Genomic DNA, 20,925 nt, shown 5'->3' on the forward strand with positions numbered 1-20,925 from the left:
CTTGGATTCTGTCCTTAGGGAGTCTCAAAGCCCAAGGGAGGTAGACAAAGGCCATAATGTGATTAGCAATTATAGCAGTATCCACAAGGTTCTGTAGAACATGGAGGAGTGACAATGCATGAGATAATTTAGAGAAGGCTACTGGGAGGTAGTGAGGCCGGGCTGCGGTCTTTAAGGATGAGCAGGAGTTTGACTAAATAATTGGCTAAATATATCATGATATTCTATTTATATGGAATAAATAGTACGAAGTGATCTCCACTAAAAATGTAGTGAAGGACAGACTGAAGAGAGACTCTGCATTCATTTTCCATATTTATTATTTGTATTTCAAGTATTTAATAATTCCAATAATCTTTATGTAGATCCTATAGTGACAAAAATGGAAGAAGGAAAAAAAGGGACTGAACAGTTTACCTGTCTCCATCTACAGCCTAATAATCTACAGCTATAAAGTCTTTGTGAACATTAAGCTTTAGCGTCTGTATTGTCTTTTTTGTTTTTAATATGCTATCCAGACCAATATCCAGATAGCAATAGAATAGCCTTTAGACAGTTACAGCGTTAAAGTTTTGTCCTTAGATTTATTTTAAATAATTAGATCATATTTTAGGTTGGGTTTCTCCAGAAATGGTCTCTAAAACCAAGTATTGAGTGCAAATAGTTTATGTGGGGATGTGATCCAGGAAGCCCTGGTTAGAGACAAGGGAACTGAGACAGAGAAGGGAAGTGTATTAGTCTGTTCTCGCATTGCTATGAAGAGCTACCTGAGATTGGGTAATTTATGAAGAAAAGAGGTTTAATTGACTCATGCTTCTGCAGGCTGTACAAGCATGGCTGGGAAGGCCTCAGGAGACTTACAATCATGGTGGAAGAAAAGGGGAAGCAGACATGTCTTACGTTGCCCGAGAAGGAGGAAGATAGAGAGAAGGGGGAAGTGCCACACACTTTTAAACAACCAGATCTTGTGAGAACTCACATCAGGAGAACAGCAAGGGGGAAGTCCACCACAATGATCCAGTCACCTCCCACCAGGCCCTCCTCCAAGATTGGGGATTGCAATCTGACATGAGATTTGGGTGGGGACACAAATCCAAACCGTATCAGGAAGGAAGCCCATGCGGGGGTCTATCAATAAACAGGTTACAGCTGTGGCCAGTCAGAGCTTAGTCCTTATAAACACCTCTGGAAGATGGAGTAGATTTTGTAAAACATGCCTCAGAGTAGTATTTTAAGAAGGTTCTGGGTATTTTAAGTCCCAGAGTCTTCGGTTCAAATGAAATCTGAAGCAGAGGCTAAACCAAAAGTATGAAAGCAGAGCTTAGAGAGGTGAAACATCTCCACATCTATAATGATATTAATCCCATATCAGCCTGGTCCTTGGTTCCAGTTTTCCACCCATTGGGTTCTCCTGGGAATCTGCAGGACTTCAGCGGGTATTGTTGGAAAGGTATTAGCTTTGAAGAATGATTTGACACCATGCAAGGCTTGAAACCAGATCAAAGTACCTGTGGGTATGGCTTCTTCCACATAATGTAGAAATCATACATTCAGCTTTTTACTTACGTTAAAAAAAAATTCCCTCGCATGACATTATTTTACTTTATGGAGGACAGAATGCAAATTGCACTGGATTTGGATGAAAGTTGGCATTATAAGGACAGATGTTGCAAGAACCATATTTTGGATACCAGGACTTTGAAAGAGAGCACCATATAAGATGTCTTTCATTGTAATTAAACTAGTTTACCTTGGATTAACTGTGAGCCAGTTTTATGCCACTACTAATAATTCTGAAAATGTAAAATGGATTTGAATACTTTTGTCCCATGTTTTTCTTCCTCAGGTTTCTAATATTCAGGCAAGAGCAGTTGTGTTGTCCTGGGCTCCCCCTGTTGGACTTTCCTGTGGACCCCACAGTGGTCTTTCCTTCCCCTACAGTTACGAGGTGGCCTTATCAGACAAAGGACGAGATGGAAAATACAAGATAATTTACAGGTTGTGTATGTTTCTATTGTTTTTCTTTGCTGCTAAACTGTAAAATTGGAGTTGTGAAGGAAAATGGAAAACAAAGGAAAACCTTATAGGCTTGGCAAATTTTCCTTTAGTTTATTTTAAGATTTAGTAATAATTATAATGCTAAGAATTCATTGTGTCCAGAGTAATTCTTATTTGGAAATGAGTAGCATAGAGCTATTTGGTATGGGTGTAATACATCACTTGGTTATATTTGCTGTCAGTAGAGTATTAATGAAAACTTTCTGTTAATGTCTGTCGGCAAAAGGCGATTATGACTTTTAGTTTTTGCATACATTGGGCGATTATAAGGTGACCGCTTATGTTTTAGATCCAGACCTTTTTGTAGCCCTGTTTTTTAAAGTTCTACAATATGTTTCCTTCTGTTTTACCCTATTTCTTACCTTGCACAATAGTTTCCAGCCTGTAATAAAGATACTTTAAAACATTTCATTTGGAGGCCTTAAGTGGTCAAAAGTTTGGCTCACAGGGAAGGGATTAGCCCCTTCTGCTCTGTGGACTCCCAGGTATTGACCATTCAAAAGATTTATAACTGTGTTCTAAATGTGAGAAAAATTTTAGGGCCACGTCTTTCTTCTTTGTAATTACTGGGTACTGCTCAGATTTGCAGAGCAGGAAATCAGAAAGTTAGTTTTGTTTTAACTGCTTGTTTGGCCTCCCTGTGAGTGGACCCTCCAGTGACTGCCCGTGCCCAGGGTAATAATGTGGTCACACAATCCTCACTTTTTCTGCCAGAGATGTTTCTTTTCTCCCCTATTTTCCTGCTGCATCAGTGCCACAGATGCGTATCTCCCCTTTCCTGTTCCTAATTCTTGCTCCACAGACAGTCTTCCTGACAAGGAAAGAGGGACAGAGGTTAAGGACTCAAGCCCTGTGGCTGCTGTGTCCTCCTCTTGCTACCCAGGCTACCTCCACTGTCTCTTCCCTGGACGCCCTCAGGAGTCTCCTGCAGGTCTTCCACCCCCGACTCTTGCTCTTCTACAAGCTTGCCTACTCACTGCAGAAACAAACTCAGGCCAGATCACTGCCCTTCTGATAACACTCCAGGGATTCCCCACTGTATTTAGGATATTCCTAACTCTGGCTCATCACCGTTTTATTCTAGTCTGAAAAATCAGAATTAGTAGCAACTTTAAAGAAATACAGAGTGCCATGTCCCCCATGCCTGGCAAGGAACAGATGCAATTGACCCTTGAACAACACAGGTCTGAACTGCACGGACCCACTTATGCACGGATTCCTTGTCAGCCACATGCAGACCAGAACAATATTCACGGGATATGAGACCTGTGGATATGCAGGGCCAACTGGGGACTTGAGTATGTGTATACGCTCTGTGGGGGTGGGGTCCTGGTACTGATTCCTTGTGTATACTGCGGGACAACTGTGGATAGAGTCTTTTCATGCAAGATGAACATTGGTGGCAGGAGCTAGAGGCTCACGTGCCCAGAGAGGCTCAGCAGGTAACATACATGAGCAAAGTGGAAAGGCTGAAAATGAGGTGAACAGGAGAGCTCCTGTTGCCATCGAAAGGAAGCAGTCACCACTCAGCCTAAGTTGATTGTTGCTAAAATTTGCTGATTCTTTGAATTTTTTTTCAAAAGATGCTGAAAATCTGAATTATTATACAAACTTCCCTGTTATTAAATTAATGGAACAAATGCAAGATATTTTAAAGATACAATGTAGGCCAGACAACAGAGCTTCAGGCAAGGTCTGGACACAGCTTCCAGTTTTCAACTTAAAACCCAGCCTTTTATTTGGAATAGTTTCAAACTTATAAGATGTCCCCAAAATAGAGAAATCAAGGAATACCTATATACTCCATATCCAGATTCACTTGTTATTAACTTTATACTCTGCTTTATCATTTGAACTCCTTCCTCTTTTCCTCTTTCTGTCCTCAATCCACATTTTTTTCCATAAGTGTTTTTTTTTTGAGACAGAGTCTTGCTCTGTCGCCCAGGCTGGAGTGCAGTGGCACTATCTTGGCTCACTGCAAGCTCCGCCTCCTGGGTTCACGCCATTCTCCTGCCTCAGCCTCCTGAGTAGGTAGGATTACAGGTGCCCGCCACCACGCCCGGCTAATTTTTTGTATTTTTAGTAGAGACGGGGTTTCACCGTGTTAGCCAGGATGGTCTCGATCTCCTGACCTCGTGATCCGCCCTCCTTGGCCTCCCAAAGTGCTCGGATAACAGGCGTGAGCCACCGCGCCCGGCCTTTTTTTTCATAAGTTTTATATGTAATGGTCCCTTACTACAAAATACTTCAGGATATTTCCTATAAGAATTTTTTTAAAGAACCACAGTGTAATTATAACTTCATAAACTTACATTGATATGATACTTTTATCTGTTGTCTATATTCCAGCTTTTGTCGCTTGGTCTATAAATAATGCCTGTTATATTTTGAAAAATTGGGCAGTTTTCACCCCTTCCCGCGCAGGAGCTAGTCTAGGGTCATACAGTACCTTTAGTTGTCATGTCTCTTTAGCCTTCTTTAATTTGGAACAATTCCACAATATTTCTTATACTTTTATGACACTGATATTTTTGAAGAACACAAAGTAAGTCACATGCACACACACCTTTAACCTTTTTAAAAATTTTCAATAGAACATTCCTTATTTTGGTTGGTTACTTCCTCATGATTTAAGGTGAGGTTCAGTTGCAACTTTTGAGGACATAAATGGTTTTATTTTATTGAAGAGAGCTATTTGTTCGGTGCATTGGTAAGTGAGGAAGTGAGATTGTGATTTTTCTTAAGACAGTCCAGAGTTGAGATAATTGAGGTTCCTGCCAAGGTAAGTGTGGAAAGTGCCTTCTGTTAACAGCTGGTATGATCATTTTTATTCATTTGTTTGTTCATTCATTCATTTGCTTACTTAGTTACTTATATGTATTTACTCGTAAGAAGTGATAAGATCTTTTAGAATTTTATTAGTAAGTTAACCATGCCATTTTCGAGATCTAAGATGGCATCATTAAAAAGAACCTGATTTTCTAGTCCCAAACAAATAATAATATCAAATAAGAAAGTTTATTTCTGGTTTATGGTGGAATCTGACATAATAGTTCATGAATTATTGTCAGTACATTACTGGACACCCAAATTCCAAATCTCGTTTGCTTTTGAAACTGGAATTAGCAACTAATGAATGCTTTTTCTTTACAGTGGAGAAGAATTAGAATGTAACCTGAAAGATCTTAGACCAGCAACAGATTATCATGTGAGGTGAGTTAGGATATAAGAGCCAAACTGTATTGGAGAATCCAGGTGGCTAAAGCAAAAACATGTACTCCCTTTTAAGTTTTTGGTGAATGTTGCTTACCTTGCTGAAAGTTGTAGAACCATGGCTTATGGGCCATTCATTGACTCTCAAGAGCATCGTAACTGGGAAGACACAGAAGCGCTTCTGTGAACAGAAAAGTAGGTGTTAAACACTGAAAATCATTTTAAACATTTTAAAAGTAATTTTACATGGTCTTCTAAGATCTATTGGACTATGGTTTAACAGTTTCTTTCTGTAAAACAAATGAAACTTTTGTCACCATGGGCATATCATTGTTTCTTATAGACCATCATATAAACTGTTTATTCAGACCAAATGACTGAAGAAGCCCTTTCCATGTTGCAAGCACACCGTTAGACCTTAAAAGCTGGTAGATTTTGAAAAAGACAAGTAATACAAGCATCAAATTATCTCTGATGAGAATTAACTCAATTTGGCTAAACAGTTAACCCATGTGGCATAGTATGTAGCCTGAAATCTCTCCTGTGATTTTCTGGAATCTCTACTGTGACTACTCTGGAAGGTAGGGCTAGCTTATTTTAGGAAGAAACCCAGCCAACCACAGATCTGTAAGGAGGAAAGTGTTATCTGAATTTTTTAGAGAGACCATCTGATTATTTAAAGATACATCCATCTATTTATTTGCCAATAAGAAGGTCTGAATATGACCCATAACACTAAAAAAACTTTTTTTTAATCTTTATTTTATCTAATATTTAAGTTCCCCAGAAAATATAGTTTTATTTAACTGGATGTACAACAACACATTGTTTCCCTTTTTTTTTTCAATTATATATGCATACATAAAGATTGCAGAATAAAATTGTAAGCATGAAATATACATCTATTACTATACTTTCCAAAGGTTAATTTACATCATGAGTTTCTTTGTGATTTCGGGATGAGGTTGGAGGCAAGGTAGCCTAGTAGGAAGAGCGTATATGAATTACCAGGAGGCTTGAGTGTGAGTCTGGTTCTGCCCTGAACGGGCTGTTTTAACTTTGGTCAATTCACATAGAACGCTCTGCCATGATTTTCTCAGTTAAAAAAAAGGTAGTAAAGCAAGGATGTGCGTTGAGGATGTAATATCTTATTAGCTGCATAAGTTCTTAAAAATAAGTTTAAAGTAATGTATATCAGAGTAAGTTGTTTTGTTTTAAGGCATAAAGTGCACATCTGCTCAGCTATCATATTGTTTAGATGAGCTCTCTTGCAACCATCTCCTCCTGTTTAAATCAAAACTTTGGATTTTGAGTCAATTAGCTTCCGCCCAAACGTATTGAGCTTTTCACACACTCTGTACAAGAAGATCTGTGTAATTTGTGAAGCTAAGATGATAATAGAAATGGTTTAACCATTATTCAAAATGGTCAATTTAACAACAAACCAGAAAATGTAAAACCAGAAAATGTAAAAGTCATGTAAATGTTATCTATTATTCATTGTTAACATATGTTTCTTTCTGCTCCGTGCTTTAACAGTTTATTGTTCCTGTGGTTAGTAAAGGTTTACTTTATTAATTTCCTGCTCATTCATGAGCTTACAATATCCTTTTTAAGAAACTTAAATGTTATGAAGAGTCTTCTCTTTATTTACCATCCTGTCTGTTGTTCCATTTATTTTTTTTTTAAACCCTTATTACAAAGGGTAAATTTGAGAACACTTGCTCATCAGCTATTTTTACCGACAAAACCTATGAACATCTTGAACTTCTGGGCAGATAGAATAGTTAATGGATTCCCCAAAAGGAACAGGATGGGAGCATGACGTGGTTACCATCTAGGGGCCTTGGGTCTAGACTTTCTCCTGACACATTTGGGACTCCTTGCATTTGGTATTTGACACACATGTGACACCAAACACGTACAACCTAGGGTGCCACCAACTGTTATTTGTTCTACCTCTCTGCTTTCCAGGAAGATAGGAAGTTCTCTCTCCTTGGGGATGGTCAATTTTAGTATTTTTTTAACATCCTTTCTCTCCTAATAAAAACGTCTATAGTCCAGATTTAGTCTTTGTGCACTGCCTAATGCACAGTCCATATAGATCATACGTTCTTTTTCCTTTTACAGTCTTGTCTTTTTTAGGCTAGAGAAGAATCTTAACACTTGCAACTCTTATTTAGATGTAGCTTCCTCTGCCTTGAATTGCTTCGGTGAAGCAGCATGATGCATAGTGGACATGGCTTGCAACTTGAAGTTAATGGCTCTGTCATTTACTAAGGGTGTGTACTTAAGCGAGCCATTGAAACTTCTTTGGTCTCGCTTTGTCATGTATAAAATGAGAATGATAATGATACCAGCCTCAGGAAAATAGGATGAGAGCAAATATATGTGCAAATCTATTTTAGACCTGTAAAGTCATGTATAAGTGCTACCTTTTGGTTTTCCCAAGCTCGTTGCAGTTTTTCCAAGCTGTGAAAATAAAAAGGACTTAATGATGCAAGTTCTTTGAATCTGTATATAGTTTGATCATATCACTCACATTTTTATTGAGATGAAGATGTATTTTACTTGACACTGAAAACAAGGAGCAAAATCTCTTTTTACAGTCCAGTTAATAATCTTAGTTCTGGGAATGTAAGCTTTTATCATGTAGAGTGGCCGCAAATATTTTAAATGTAGCAGTCACCTATAAGGCCTCAAAAGGCCGTGTGGAAATAGTTTCTTCACTAAATTTTCATAACAGCAACTACAGAAGAATTTCATTACTGGACAGCTGCAAAATAAACAATTACGCTGAGTGCAGTGGCTCACACCTGTAATCTCAGCATTTTGAGAGGTCGAGAGAATGACTTGAGCCCAGGAGTTCAAGACTAGCCCAGGCAACATAATGAGACCTTGTCTCTACAAAAAATGAAAAATTAGCTGGGTATGGTGATGTATGCCCGTGGTCCCAGCTACTGAGGAGACTGAGGTGAGAGGATCGCTTGAGCAGAGGGGTTGAGGCTGTAGTGAGCCCTGATTGCAGCTGCTGCACTCCAGCCTGGGCAACAGCAGGAGACCTTGTCTCTAAATAAATAAATAAATAAGTGAATAAATTCCTTGCCATTTTTGTTTGTGCATTACCAATTTAGAAAGTGATGGAAGTCTGTAGAGCCAGTTATGAAAACTGAGATATTTCTTTTAGCAGCACAAAACAAGGTACATTTTTTCTTCCAACTCTTAATATTGCAACATTTTGATTAAAAGTGTAAGATTTCTGTCTTAAATCATGTACTGAAGTCTCACCTAGACTTCTGTTCTTGTATTCCTTGTTACTTTTCATTTTGCTACTCTGAGTCTATCTTATTCACATTGATTGCTTGATATCTTCATATAATGCTTTTTCTCATTTTCAACTCCCCCGGCCCATGCCCGCCCCCATATTAGTATTATTGCATGAGTTCACCCATCAGACACACAAACCTTCTTCTTTTTCAATAGCAGTCTCAGTCATGAAGCCCTGTCATTTAACTGCCTGGTAGTTGCCTTCAGTTACTAGGCCAGAACAGCTCTTTCCACCAACTCACTGTTACTGGGAATATATTGAGACTAGTGGCATCCTTTAGACAGTGCTGTAGCTCACATGCCTGTGGCTGCTCCAGTTGGCATCTGACATGCCATTTGAGCCAGATTCCACATGGAAAATTATATTCCAAGACATTTCAGGTTTACAAAATGTTTCTTCTTTTCCACTTTTACTATGAGGTTTTGTGTATCATTCTTACACGTCTGTTCAGTCACTATTCTTTTTTTCTCCTAATCTCCTAGTGGTGATTGAGGAAGATAATACCCCTCTATGATGCATACATTGATTAGCAAAATTTAGGAAGACCTTTATTAAAATCACTTTCATATTTGTTACCCTATTCTTAACACAAATAAATTTTTTTGGTTTAATGTTCATACAATATTTCAAAGGAATCCATTTGTAATTGTCAAGATTATTCAGTGCTTCTGTAAAGGGCATTGTGTTATGTATTGTATAAAGCCACTAATAAAAAATCTCCTGTCTCTGTGTGTGTATGTGTGAGAGAGAGAGAGAGAGAGTGTGTGTGTGTGCATGTGTGTGAGAGTGTGTGTTTGTGTGTGCCTGAGAGAGAGAGACAGAGACAGAGAGACAAGAGATTGTGTGGAGAAATGAGAAAAATCCAATATGTAAATAAATTGCATTATATTTTAAATACTTATATATATATAAATATGTAATTTTACAAACATGAACATTTATACATATATACATTTATTTGTACAAATAAATATGTATACATACACAAATGTATGCTGTGTATGCATCTGCCAGAGAAGTATATTTGTCTTTTAATTGGTAGTTCTATAATTAATAATGGCATTACAATGACCATTTTACTGCGGGAGTCAACAATTTATATCTTTATCAGCGATAGGATAATCAGTAATTTGAGTGATGGAATGGATAGCAATTTCATGAAAATTTTGAAGCAGTTTTCTAGTCATCCGCCTAAACAATTTGGCAAACAAGTTGCCCAGAGATGATATCATATAATGACATTTCCCAGAAAAATTGTGCAATGAAACATTTCCAAAAATATGGTTGACAAGCACAGTGAAGGATTATAAAATACATGTTATTGACCAAAAACTGTGGCTCCTAGTATGTTACATCGTGCTAGAAAAAGTTGGAGGCATACTTCTGAAATTCTTGGAGCACCTGTTTCCTAAGCATTTAGCCAGGATTTAAGCTGAAACAAATGTGAAAACAAGATTAATTATATTGTTAGAAAAATGTTTTCTTTTCTTGGGATAAATGCAACAAAAACTGAACTGTTTGCTGACTTATTTAACCCAAGAAACTGACCGTACTCTACAGATACTCCTTTTACATGATGATATTTATGGAAAACTCATTGCCATTATGTGGAAAAAAAAAAAATTGCAGTATTCTTTTAAAATGTAGCATCATTAGCAGAGATTTTTCTTTTCTATAAAAGTTATTGGTAAAAATGTTGCTAGTCACTATAACAGTAAGTTGCTGTCCATTTACTGAACTACTATAATTGACAGATGTAATCAAGGGATACTTAAGTGTGGTGCCAATTTTTGTACTATATGCAGCATACTTACATTGCCATGCAAAATGGCTGACAAAATATTATGTGTGAAAAGCATTGACCCTTAGCATAACATTGTTTAAGATTAAAGGCAAGAAAAATAGCCAACTCCATCTGGCCCATACAACTGTCTGTTTTCAACAACCTCAAATTTCTAACCTGCATCAGGTTCTTTTACTTTTATCCTCACTGCCATCCTCCCAGCCTGGCCACCAGGAGTCTCCATCACTTACGACTCTCCAGCCTAGGAAGTATGGATTGCTGCCTCCAAGAATCCCACTAAAAATGAACAAAGAATTTACTGAGACCAAATTTACCTTTCCCCAGACAACTGACTGCATCCTGCTAGTACTTTGCAGGCTGTTTCCCTGCCTTCCTCCCTCTGCTCTATTATCCAGATGGATTTTTGGCGGTGGCTGTTTTTGGGAACATATAGGACCTGATCTGCCTGGGTATACTTCTGCATTTGTAGGCAAATGCCCAGTCATTGCAAACTGACATACTTACTGGGTGGAGGCAGAGAACCTAAACAGCTAAACTGGGTTGGGTAAGGGTCAGCTGAAAAGCAGTCTCAGTGCTGTGGAGACAGTAGGAATGATGGGGACTCTAGCGAACTCTGCAGCACCTGCTCCATCTAAAGCGGGGAGCTGCCCACAGATTTAGCTCATTACTACAGGGCAGGAAAGAGGGCCGAGTGAGGCCAGGTGCAGTGGCTCACGCCTGTAATCCCAGCACTTTGGGAGGCCAAGGTGGGTGGATCACCTGAGGTCAGGTGTTCAAGACCAGCCTGGCCAACGTGGTGAAACCCCCATCTCTACAAAAATACAAAAATCAGTCAGGCATGATGGCAAGTGCCTGTAATCCCAGCCACTCAGGGGGCCGAGGCAGGAGACTCACTTGAACCTGGGAGGCAGAGGTTGCAGTAAGCTGAGATCATGCCATTGCACCCCAGCCTAGGCGACAGAGCGAGACTTCATCTGAAAAAAAAAAAAAAAAAGCCAAGTGTTGCTAAAACCTTGAGTTTTTAAGAGAAGCCAGAAGTTTGGTTTTTAAAATGAGAGCGCTCCAGATATTTTTCAGTGAAGGCTTAATTTTTACTTTTTTATTTCAGAAAATGTTAGATATAGTCAGAAGTAGATAGTAGTTTAGATAGTAGTAGTTTAATGAACTCTCATCACTCAACTTCTGTTACCTCATTGTCCTCACTTACCTCTCCCCTGCCCTGATGATTTTGAAGTAAGGTTCAGACATCATATTATTTCACCTATAAACTATATTACCATCATCACACACACCTGAAATGTCTTCACAATCCCGGGACTGTTCCCATTTCCTCAGTTCTAAGAATGAAGATTTTGTTTCTTTAGTTTGTTGTAATTGGAATTCAAATGTGTGAATATGTGGTTTGGTTGATATGTCTTAAATATATTTTAATCCATTCATTTTTCCCTTTATCTTTTTCTCTTTCTTGCAACTTGTTTGTTAGATTAATTTGTTTGTCCTGTAGAGTCTTCCACAAGTATGAGTTTGGCTGACTGCATCCGTGTTGTGTTGCTTAATATTGTTCTCCTGTCCTCTATATTTCCCATAAAGCAATGAAGAGGTTTAATCAGATACAGGTTCAGTTTTTCTGCCAAGACAGTTTTGTAGGTAGTGACATAGTCCTTTATTAGGAATGCATGGTGTCTGGTTGTCTCTTTTTGTGATGGTCATTGCCTGTATCTTTTAATTCATAGGTGGCTCTAATACTTCAAAACATTATGTTTTTGCACACTGCCACCACACATACACATGTGTCTTGGGTCAGATGCAACCCATGAGTCACCTGTTGGAGAATTCTGTGTATCAAAGTTCAGGCTTGAGCCCTGCCCATGTCTGGAACATGTTGTGATTCATTTAAAGTAACTTACTCCCAGTGAGCCCATCCTGACACAGGGAAATGATCTTACCAGATCTACCATTTAGTTTTATATTATCACGTGCCTACTTACAGTGCGTGCAAAAAGGACCTTTTCCTTCATCAGGGGTTGGGTGGAGAGCATCCCAATGATAAGCATTATTTGTTTGGATCAAATTTCATGCTGTCCTCCCATAAGGCAAATAGATCAAATATGTAATATGTATGTATTTTTATCTTTTGAGGTACAAAGTAGACATATCTATTAGTGCCTTTGACGTATGGCCTCTATGAATTTTTCATGATGGACTTTGTGGAGAAATGACTTTGCAAATCACACACACACTTGGGACCTATCTTCCATAATGTTGTTATCTTTACCTGTTGTTTGTGTTCATTGGGTAGGGCTAAGGGAAGTGGATTGTGGTGTTTAGAGGAACATGATTGCAGGATGAACAAGGGGAATAGGCAATACCGTATATACTGGTTAGACTTCCAGGGATAAATACCATTGATCCAAATTTCTAACTGTGTGGCCTTGGGAAATGTACTTCATCTCTGTGTTTCCTTCTGTCTGCAATGGGTAATAAGATTTCCCTACCTCAGAGAGGGTGGCTATAAGAATTAAGGGCTCAATATCTATTTGCCAACTCTGTGAATAGTTTAATCCTTGCATCTGTTTTAGGCAGCAAAGTGTTCTTTGTTGTTGTTGTTTTTTAAGAGTACATTTTCAATTTTGAAAAAATAAATTCCCAGTATAAAAAATGGAATAGTAGGAAGATGATAAAAATCAGCATAGCCCTATTTTATGCTATTTGAAGAGTGTGGCATTAATAGTATGTTCTATGCTTTTTCTTCATGGCTTCTCTGGAGAAATCAAGCACATATGTTGCAGTGTTGAGCCAAACATTTTAGTGTACAGACCGAACATCTTTAATCTTGGCTTCATGTATAAGAGTTAAATATTCACGTGGATTAAACTGTACCTGAACATTGTTTTTGTGGAATTAGAGAAAGTCACACTTGTTAGCTTCTCTGTGAAACATCCCTAGTTTTACATAAATGTGTACAGTATTAAATGTAGTTCAAAGATGGTATCTACCCTGTTTGTACTTTTATGCTTTCTCTCCAGTCTGTGACCTCTTATTACTGTTTCTTTTGCCTTTTTATCCAGCTCTTAACTCTTAGCCTTTTTCCAGATAAAGTCAACCAGAGAGTAGCTCATGGGGTTTTAGAACATATATTTGGAGATCGTTCTGGGGTTAAGGTTTATTTTCTTACTTAGAATAATCTCTTCTAGTCAGTAGATCCTGCCTATCTTGAAATGGAGCTGGGTGGCACACACTGAGACAAATACCTGTTGGGATGACTGTCCCCTGTTAATGCTAACCATAGGTCAGGACAAGACCAACAGATAAGAGCAAGAGCATGATACTCACTCCGTAAGAAATTCTGTTCATCTACAGAAAGCCTTAGGGTGAAACAAAGATAAGAATCCTGGTCTTCTATGATGAGTCACTGCCACTGACTGTGTCTGTTTTGTTTTCAGGGTGTATGCCATGTACAATTCCGTAAAGGGATCCTGCTCCGAGCCTGTTAGCTTCACCACCCACAGCTGTGCACCCGAGTGTCCTTTCCCCCCTAAGCTGGCACATAGGAGCAAAAGTTCACTAACCCTGCAGTGGAAGGTGGGTAGCTCAAAGCATCAAGAATCGTCTCAATTTAAAAATTAGCCAGGTGTGGTGGCAACGTGTTCCTAGTCCCAGCTACCTGGGAGGCTGAGGAGGGGGGATCACTTGAACCCAGGAGTTTCAAGGCTGCAGTGAGCCATGATCACGCCACTGCACTCCACCCTGGGCAACAGAGAAAGAGTCTCGAGTTAATATAAGGTCAGTCTATAGCCATTTGAAATATTTTTTAGCACGACTCCAGTCTTGTGATATGTTTGGTTTTCTGCATAGTAAGTATGTGCAACCAACTGTTATATCAAAAGTTGTCATTTCTGTAAGAGTTGGGCAAAGGGGTGGGAGGAGGGAACTGCAAAATCTAGCTTTAGCTTTTTTTTGCAGCAGTATTTTCTAAATGTCTTCAGGTCATAAGCAACACGTATAAGTGATATAGGTACTTAAAATACCTACATCTTATCACTTTCTAATAGTCTAGCTCATTTCAACAAACATTTGAGGACTTTAGCAAAAAGTTTTTATCAAGAAAGATTCAGAGATAAAGTAGTTTTATGGCCCTTTTGGCACATTTCAGTGGTGATACTGAAATGTTTAATACATAAAACAACCTAGAACATTTAGTGATCTAAACTATGTTAGTACTTCATTAAGTTTCACTACTTAGGCCATACACCAGTCAGGATTACTAATTATTTAAGAAAAAAAGACTGAATTATATATTTTCATGAAACACAATTCACTGGCTAAAATTAGCTGTTACCAAAGAGAGATCATATTGCCCCTTCCTCAAGAGGCATCACTAGCTTGTTAATCATAGTTGTGTGTTTGTGAGAAAACAGTAGATTGTTATCAATCTCTATAGCAGTTATTTCTCTACATCAATATTTTAAAATATAATTTAAAATGTAAAATAGATGGAGGTAGAGATAAAGATTTAGGGTTTGGGGGGAGAATAGTAATGTGTGAAAGAAAGAAAATGGCTAGGAAGATCCATTATTAGTGAAGAAATATTTTATCTTTTCATTTCTGGCCCAGAGAGTCAGGTTGGTCTAGGGAGCTGATGAAAGCAATTGAGAGTAGTGGTTAGCAGCAAAGCATGGGCCTCAGTTGATCCCTCTTAGGTGGGCAGCTGCATTCTCATAGCCAGTGGCCAGCATTGAGTGTGTTACTTGGACAGAAGCAAAGTTTAAACTGGCTTAGAATCTGAACTATTTTATTTTCCTTCCTGGCTTCCAGGGATAATCCAGGTCAGTGATTCCCCACCTTTTCAGAGTTTTAACACCCAACTGGCATCATTGTTTAATTCCTTAGAGTATACACATCCATTTAAAAAATGTGCTCTATATTTACACATACATATGTAAATATATCTTTGTAAGGAAAGAATTAAAATCCATTTTGTTTGGAAAATATAAGAACTCATCTTTAGATGACCTGAGGGATCCCGGGGTCTTATAAACCTAAAGTTGGGAATCACTGATGCATACTCTGCTTAAAACCTGGATGAATTTCAGGTCTCAGGCAGACCAGCAACTTCAAGAAAGAATTTTCTTATTAGGAGGAAAACGTTTCACATTTTCTTTCTCCCTTTCCTCAATTGTAAATCAGAAACATACTCTTGTTCCATTCAGTCATGTACAAACTTGAAAGTTCTGGATTTAGTTCAGTTTTCATTTAAATGTCCTTAGAACAGATTCCCTGATCAAAGTGCTCCAGGTGGGGGCACAAGGACAGGGGAACATTCTCTGGCTGCCAGTCTGTCCTTGAATCCACAAAGACGCTGAAAGCACTAAAGATCTGACATCTTTTTGTTCGTCAGCAACAGTTATTACTTACACAGGAGATAAGGCAAAACAAAAACCTAAGTCAGTGTACCCACCCTCAAGGAATTAAGGGACTAGTAGTGGGGTAGGATATCATCAAAGAAACTACCAAAGAACAGTTTTTTTTTGAGTTCTCATCTTAGAGATGGGTTCTCATCTTAGAGAACTTTGATTTTGTCAGTTGTTTATAACTTTAAGTGCATCACTATCCTCTCCTCCAGATTGAGCCTGCAAGAGCCTAAAATAACAGTTTAGGACTTAGAGCACTCACCTGAGATCCGAGTTTTGGGACTCAGAGATTGTGTGACTCTAAAGAGAGAAGGAAGGGAAGGAGAGGGAGAAGAATTTCATTATTAATTTAACTACCATTTACTGGGCCCCTGAGGTTTTATTACTAACCATAATAGAGCAATAACAACTGTTTACTGAGTGCTTCCTATAAAACTGGGTAGTTTAGTAGGTGATTTACATATTCTCCCAATTATTTATCATACCTATCTATTCTTGGAACATGAAATTAGTTGTTGATATTGATATTAAACAGCTAGCACCAGACCACATGCGACAAACAGCCAAGGTAGGATTCAGATACATCTCAGGGGAAGCTGAGCTGCCTTTTGCCAGGGGTAAGGCACTGTGCTGTTTGTTAGGCTCTTGCTCTTTCCTAGGGAAGAGTCGGCCCTGGCATGTTTTTGAAGTGGGAGACACGATCCGACTCCTCTTCCTGGTTGCTTCCCCCAACTTGTAGTTCCACTGTCTCTCTAGATCTGTCTACCCTAATGCTCCAAGAGACCCCACTGCGGCATCACCTGTAGCTCTTGGAATCCTGAAAAGCATTCTTTTCTCCAGAGTTCTTTACTTCCCTTCCCATTGTTAAAAACCCACTTTCTCAGTGAAGCAGATCTCAGCATGCTTTTTAAGAGGAAAGCAAATGATGAAACTTCCCTCTGCTAACGTATGAAGGATGAATAGCCTCTAGTCATCTATCCAGAGGATCACATTTTTTCCCCATTTTTTAAAAAGAGGAACCTTAATGTCGCTGATGGCTTTCTAATCTTAAGTACTTTTAAAAAATTAAAAAGCTGTATGTGGGATGTTATAAAAAGAAAGGCTTGACTGTGCTCCACCAGACCTCCAGCAGTGCCTGTGTTTCTCAGCTGCCTTGTTCTCACTCTACGCTTGAATTCAAAGTCCCTCTTCAAAGTCCTATCCCCAGAGGAAGTAGCGTACCATGAGGGTGTAAAAAGGGAGAGGTGGTGGTGGTGGTAGGTAGGTTTGGCTATTTGTGGAGTATGATTTATTCATAGTGGGGACTCTCTCTACTGTTGAGGTATGTCAAAGTTAGTGTATGATGATGATTGACCAAGGAACGCAGGAACCATCAGCTTTATCCCCCTGAGGGGAGAGCACAGGACTATCATAGACACTGTATGTGAGCCAGGTGGGTAACTCATAAGTTTTGTCTGTGAACAACTTTCTCTAATCTCATGTTACTATTTTTTTTAGGCACCAATTGACAACGGTTCAAAAATCACCAACTACCTTTTAGAGTGGGATGAGGTAAGCTTATTTTCATATTCACCCATCTAAAACACCATTTCAAAAACAAAATTAACTGAACAAATGCCATCTTATTCTTTTATAAGACATGCTAAACACAGAAAAAAGGAATGCTAGTAGAGAAATTTAAATCAATAGTTATTGACTATGGAAAATGAAGTTAGATTGAAGTAGTATTATGAGTTGTGTATTGAAATATATGTACCTGGCTTATTTGCAAGCACTACTGCTGAAAGAAAAAAAGTGGGGTCTTATCTATTTTGGATCTCCAGTGTCTAGCCAGCCAATAATTTGTATTAAAAATTGACTGCTTTGTCATCTTGACTGCTCAGATGATTTTGATAAGGTAAAACACACTGCCGCTTGGAAAGCATAATTTGCTTTTCCTTTTTGAATGCCATGTATGTACTTTGGTGTTACACTGTTGAGTGGCCTCTGTGAGAGCAGAGCAGTACATAGAAGTCACATTCTACCCATGTGCGAGTGCCCTGTGGGTTAGAATGTCCTGTATCGGATGCCCCCCTTGCTGTTCATGTCACCAGAGGCCCTTGGAAGGTATCTACGGTGGAGTGTCCTTATTCTCAAAGCCACTGTGTGCCAACTGGTGGACCCAGTGCATTTCTGGCCTAGCTAACTCTACACACAGAATCTCAGGCAGGAAACACTTGACCTAGAAGCCTTTCATTTCTAAAAAGCAACTGTAGGTCGGGCGCGATGACTCACGCCTGTAATCCCAGCACTTTGGGAGGCCAAGGCAGGTGGATCACGAGGTCAGGAGATCAAGACCATCCTGGCTAACACGATGAAACACCGTCTCTACTAAAAATACAAAAAAAAAAAAAAAAAATTAGCCGGGCGTAGTGGCGGGCGCCTGTAGTCCCAGCTACTCGGGAGGCTGAGGCAGGAGAATGCTGTGAACCCAGGAGGCAGAGCTTGCAGTGAGCCGAGATCGCACCACTGCACTCTAGCCTGGGCGACAGAGCAAGACTCCGTCTCAAAAAGAAAAAAAAAAAAAAGCAACTGTACTTTTTGTTCCTGTAGATCTTAATTGTATTTATTCATTTGCCCCCACTTTATGCTTTCTCTGGTTGAGAAATTGGCTAAGGATTTTAAGAATAAGAAATGTGGAATTTGGGGAGAAATGCAAGTTAGCTAGCCTTCGTGACTTAAATTTGGAGAGATTGAAAGATTTAGAACTTAGGCAAAAAATGACTTGGCAAGTATGGAAAAATATTTTAACCAAATGTAAAATGAAAACTGGATGGAATTCCCATGATGAAATTTTGATGTGAAAGAGAGGTCCGTCATCACTTTCTGCAGAAGCATATTTTCCCATCTGGGTTGCATCTGAACAGCTAGAGTTCCAAGTTACCCAGAACAACCGTCTGTTGTTCTTAGGATCGTTTCGAATAGCTTGTACATGCAGGTTGGTAAAATCTCAGCCTTAACCCGTACATTCTACAGATTAGGTGGATTTCATTTTAAGGTGGTTAATTAGAAAGTGAAACCACCTCTCCAGCCCTTAGAGGTTTTTATAGTCAGTCAGGAATGTTGGAAAGAAACTCGAATGACCTGTGAGCATATAGTAACATCTTCCCATCTCTTCCTCTTTGTAAGGACAGGTGACCGTTTAATGAAAGTCTCTTTTTATATGTTGATTTGTTGCACTCACCTTGTTTTTTCTCATGTCTCGAGGTTCACCAGTACAGAAAAGGCATTTTTTTTTTCAGTTATCTTCTTAGGGCACTGTGTGTGTATGTGCGTGCGTGCATGCACACACTCGTGCATGCATATGAATCCTGTGTTTTTTTACTGCTTCTCTGCCTAAGACCGTGAGTTCCTAAGTTAAGGAAGGCCAAAAAAGTTGAATACATACCTCAGTGGGAAACCTCCAAAGAAAACTCGGGTGCTGCAGGAAATGGTAACTCAGTTACCATTGCTCAGTTCCTCATCCCTTCCCTTAGAATTTGAAGTGAGAGTGTCGTAGCTGATGATGCTGAGAGGAAGGATGCCACAGCCTCTGCTGAAACAGGACAGGCCACGTCTGATGACTTTTTATGTTCAGCATGGTCCATTACAGGCTAGCGGTCAAAAAATGTTAAATGGCTGAGTTTTGCCCTCTACCTTTCTCCTACTTGATCTCCTTCCAGCTTTTCCTCTCACTTTTCTTAATTCCCTTCCCTCTTCTTTCCCCTTTTTCTCTCCCACCTTCAAATTCCTGCTGGTATCAGCTCTGTTGAGCTTTGCTGAAGATTCCAGGTTAATCGACTCTCATCCACCATGGATCTTTTGCCAACACAGGAATCCTTTTACATTCTGTGGCTTCATGTCCACTTTCTAGACATCTCCTGCCCCCTCAATTCTAAGGCACTCCCTTGCCTTTGGGTGCAACGAGCTTCCTGGCAGGAGAGGATAATTGAAGGAACACCAAGATTAGGAAATATGGGTTCTGTTCTGAGTTTTATGCTGGGCAGCTTGACCTCTCTGGTCCTTAGTTTTTTCCATCTGTGAAATGGTGAATAGATTAGTTCACCAGCTTGTGTGCATTTACATTATTTATGCTCTCACAAAACAGATTATTTAGGATTGTCTCTTCTGACAAGAGAATATTTGGAATCATTTTCACTGTTCATTAATTATTTCAGCATTTATGGAGTGTGCTCCTCAGTAGTCCACATTGCACATTGTCCTGTGAGGGATCTGTGACGTAGTAAAGATAACTGTGATAGCTGTGATAGCTGAAAAAGCAAACGTACGCCTATCCTCTTGTGCTTTTAAGCAGACACAAATAAAACACGTTGCCATATGCTTCTCAAATTGTTCTGTCCAGTAGCTTCTTTGCTTTGTATTATACCCCTCTCATTTCCCATCCCCTTATAAAGATGAAAAAATGGTGCTATCGGGTTTCCTGGCAATGAGAATTCAAGCAGTAGTAACAAGTTCATTCCTGCCCATCCTGTCATTTCAGAAGTGAAGTTTCTGACAGAACAGTCTGGCAGTCTGTGTTTCTAAATTTAGAGCTAAGTTGAGGATCAGTAGCACTCTTGAGAGTAGCTCACTTGGGTTGGTCTTTGGGTCCCACATTCCTATGCTATACAGGCCTTAGCTTCAAGAAGGAAACAGGAGAACGGCATCTGGTCTGTAGGAAGTGTGAACACATAAGGCTCTGGCCATCCCTCTGAATCCTTCTGCTGGTAGTTTCTACAGCCAGGTGCATCTCTTTGGTACCAGGACTGTTTCCAGACTCTGCCTTAATAGAAGGCAGTGAGGCAGGAGAATGGGAAGTGGATGTTTTGCTGGAATCACCCTTTCCCCACCCCTCCCCTCTCTAAGAGCCACAGCTCTCCCCTCCTCTCCTCTTCAAGGATATCTGCTCCAGCCACACACCCATAAACCTGTCTGCCATCCAGGGGGCTGAAGAAACAAACTTAGATTGCAGAAAGTTTTTGAGGTGCACAGAGACACAAATCACTGCCTGAGAGTGAGACAGTGCTGCTCAGAGTCTTGAAGAAGGTTGTGTTCAGGCATAGCACTCTTCCCTGTCTCTGCTCTGGCACCTG

The 20,925-nt window shown here is 39.5% G+C and overlaps 1 protein-coding gene across 11 annotated transcripts in view, besides 2 other annotated features; it reads left to right on the forward strand.

Moving 5' to 3' along the window:
• Window positions 1-20,925, forward strand: part of FNDC3B (fibronectin type III domain containing 3B) — a 362,092-nt gene that overhangs the window by 253,939 nt on the left and 87,228 nt on the right. For all 11 annotated transcript variants that reach the window (NM_022763.4, XM_017007062.2, XM_017007064.3 and 8 more), the window contains 4 exons: window positions 1,847-1,998; window positions 5,212-5,271; window positions 13,847-13,985; window positions 17,312-17,365. In NM_022763.4, coding sequence (NP_073600.3) covers window positions 1,847-1,998; window positions 5,212-5,271; window positions 13,847-13,985; window positions 17,312-17,365 — 405 coding nt within the window. The remainder of the gene's footprint in view (window positions 1-1,846; window positions 1,999-5,211; window positions 5,272-13,846; window positions 13,986-17,311; window positions 17,366-20,925) is intronic.
• Window positions 7,305-7,973: an enhancer, noted in NCBI's record as "OCT4-NANOG-H3K27ac hESC enhancer chr3:172018611-172019279 (GRCh37/hg19 assembly coordinates)". NCBI's record gives its function as "activates a minimal SCP1, AML or CMV promoter by ChIP-STARR-seq in primed H9 embryonic stem cells {active_cell/tissue: H9 hESC(primed)}" and the evidence as "EXISTENCE:reporter gene assay evidence [ECO:0000049][PMID:30033119]".
• Window positions 12,063-12,357: an enhancer, noted in NCBI's record as "tiled region #11565; HepG2 Activating DNase matched - State 14:Gen5'". NCBI's record gives its function as "activates a minimal TATA promoter and a strong SV40 promoter by Sharpr-MPRA in HepG2 cells {active_cell/tissue: HepG2}" and the evidence as "EXISTENCE:reporter gene assay evidence [ECO:0000049][PMID:27701403]".

The sequence above is a fragment of the Homo sapiens genome, chromosome 3, assembly GCF_000001405.40.
Source record: "Homo sapiens chromosome 3, GRCh38.p14 Primary Assembly".
NCBI lineage: Eukaryota > Metazoa > Chordata > Mammalia > Primates > Hominidae > Homo > Homo sapiens.